Raw genomic sequence first — 2663 nt, 5'->3', positions numbered from 1 at the left:
ACAATTAGAATTAAATTGGTATTAATCCAAACTAGATGATTTTAAGATACTAATGGTAATCCTCGGTCAACTACTAAGAAAATAACTCCATAACTCAAACAATATACTAAAAGAAACAAGGGACTTAAAATTGTACACTAGAAAATATACATTTAGCACAAAGGGAAACAGTAATGATAAGATATGGGAACCCAAAAGACATAAGGCGTATAGAAAACAATTAGCAAAATGGCAGATGTAAACCAGACCTTATAAATAACTACATAAAATATGAATGAATTAAATGCTCTAGTCAAAAGATAGATATTGGCAGGATGAATAAAAATGGCATGATTCAACTATATGCTGTCTGCAGTGATATACTTTATTTCAAATGACATAAGTAGGTTGAAAGTGAAGGGATGGATAAAGATATACTGTGCAAACAATAACCAAAAATGAGCTGGCATAGCTATACTAAAATAAACTTTGAGACAAAGCTGCTGCTAAAGACAAAGTAGGACAATTTTAATGATAAAAGATCAATCTATCAAGAAGATATAACAACTATAAACAATATGCATTTAAAAACAGAGGCTAAAATACACGAAGCAACAACTGACAGAATTGAAGGTAGAAATAGTTAATAATAATACCCAAATACTTCAGTATCTGACTTTTAATAATGAATGGAACGATTACACTTAAGATCAATTGATAAATAGAAAGTCTACAAAACACTATACATCAACTAAACCTAAACAATACATACATAACATTTTATCCAACAGTAGAATACATACTCTTCTCAAGTAAACATGGAACATTCTCCAGAATAGACTAAATGTTAGGCCATAGTGTATTCAGTAATTCTAAATTTATTAAAACTTTTTTAAAGGATTTAAATTTAAATTTAAAATTCAATAAATTTAAAATGATTAAGATAATAAAGAGTATGATTTCTGATCACAATGCAATGAAACTAGAAATCAATAATGGAAGGAAATCTGGGAAAATTAAAAGGTGGAAATAAATTTACATCCTCCTAAATAACCCATGAGTCAAAGAAGAAATCACAAAGGAAATTAGGAAGCACATTGAGATGATTGAAAACAAGGACACAGCATAACAAAACTTACGGGATGCAACTAAGCCAGTGCTTTTCAGAGTATTTATAGCTGTAAATATGTACCTTTTTAAAAAAATAAAAATTTCAAATCAGTAAGCTAACGCTCTTAAGACATTGAAAAATGAGGAGCAAAATAAATCTAAAGCAAGCAAAAGGAAGAAAATAGTAAAAATGAGAGTAGATAGAAACAAGTAAAATCAGGAATTAAAACCAATAGAGAAAATCAACAAAAGCAAAAGCTTTTCTCTTTTCAAAGATCAATAATATTGATACACTTTAGACTGCGAAGAAAAAGAAGATTCAAATCACTAAAATCAGGAATGAAGAAAGGAATAATACTCCTAACAGAAATAAAAAGGATTACAAGTGAATGCTATGAACAGTTACATGCCAATGAATTAGATAACTTAGATAAAAGGTGCAAATGCCTAGAAAGAAACAAGCTACTGAAACTGACTCAAGAAAAAAAAATCTGAATAGACCTGTAACAAGAGATTTAATTGATAATCAAATAATTTCCCACAAAGACCAAATAATTTCAATGGTAAATATTACCAAATATTTAAAGAATAATGAATACTTTTTCTTTATAAACTCTTCAAAAAACAGAAGAGAAGGGAATAATTCTTAACTCTTTACATTAAGCTAGTATTACTGTGATCCCAAAGCCAGGCAAAGACATCACAAGAAAAGAAAAGTGAATACATATGAAAACTGATCATGCTAATAAAATAAAGAATAAATGCCACATGGTTAACTCACAAGATAAATCATTTGACAAATCCCAACATCCTTTGCTGATAAAAAACAATCAACAAATTATGAATAGAAAGGAACTTTCTCAACTTCAGAGAAGACATATATAAAAATCCACAGTTAATATCATGTATAATAATGACATACTGAAATATTTTCTACTAAAATCAGGAACAAGACAAAAAAAGAAGTGCTTTTAAGAATTTTATTCAACATTGTACTGGATATTCTAGCCAGAGCAATTAGGTAAGGGGAGAAAAGCATTCAGATTGTAAAGAAAGAAGTAAAACCATCTCTATTCACAAATGACCTAAGTGTGCATATATGATATCCCCAAAATCCACACACACAAAAATTAGTATAAACAAGTTCTGCCCTGTTTCAAGATACAAGCAAATATCAATTTTATGTCTATATACTACTAATGAGCTATCTAAAAATAAAATTCAAAACCAATTACATTTACAATAGCATAAAAATTTAACAAAATAAATGCAAAACTTGTACACTAAGAACTATAAAATGTTACTGAAAACAATTAAAGAAGACCTAAAAAAATAAAAAGACATTCACTGTTTACAGAACAAGAGACTGAATAGTATTAAGATGGGAAAATGCCCCAGATTTGATGCTATCAAAATCCCAGCTGGCTTTTTTGTAGACATTTTAAGGTAAGCCTAAAATGTATATGGAAATGCAAGAGACCCAAAACTGCCAAGACAATCTTGTAAAAGAAGTTGGACGATACATTTCTTGATTTCAAAACTTACTACAAAGCTAAAATAAACAAGGCAGTGTC

The sequence above is a fragment of the Homo sapiens genome, chromosome 13, assembly GCF_000001405.40.
Source record: "Homo sapiens chromosome 13, GRCh38.p14 Primary Assembly".
Lineage (NCBI taxonomy): Eukaryota > Metazoa > Chordata > Mammalia > Primates > Hominidae > Homo > Homo sapiens.
The sequence above is the reverse complement of the archived record's forward strand: the minus strand, read 5'-3'. Positions refer to the sequence as shown.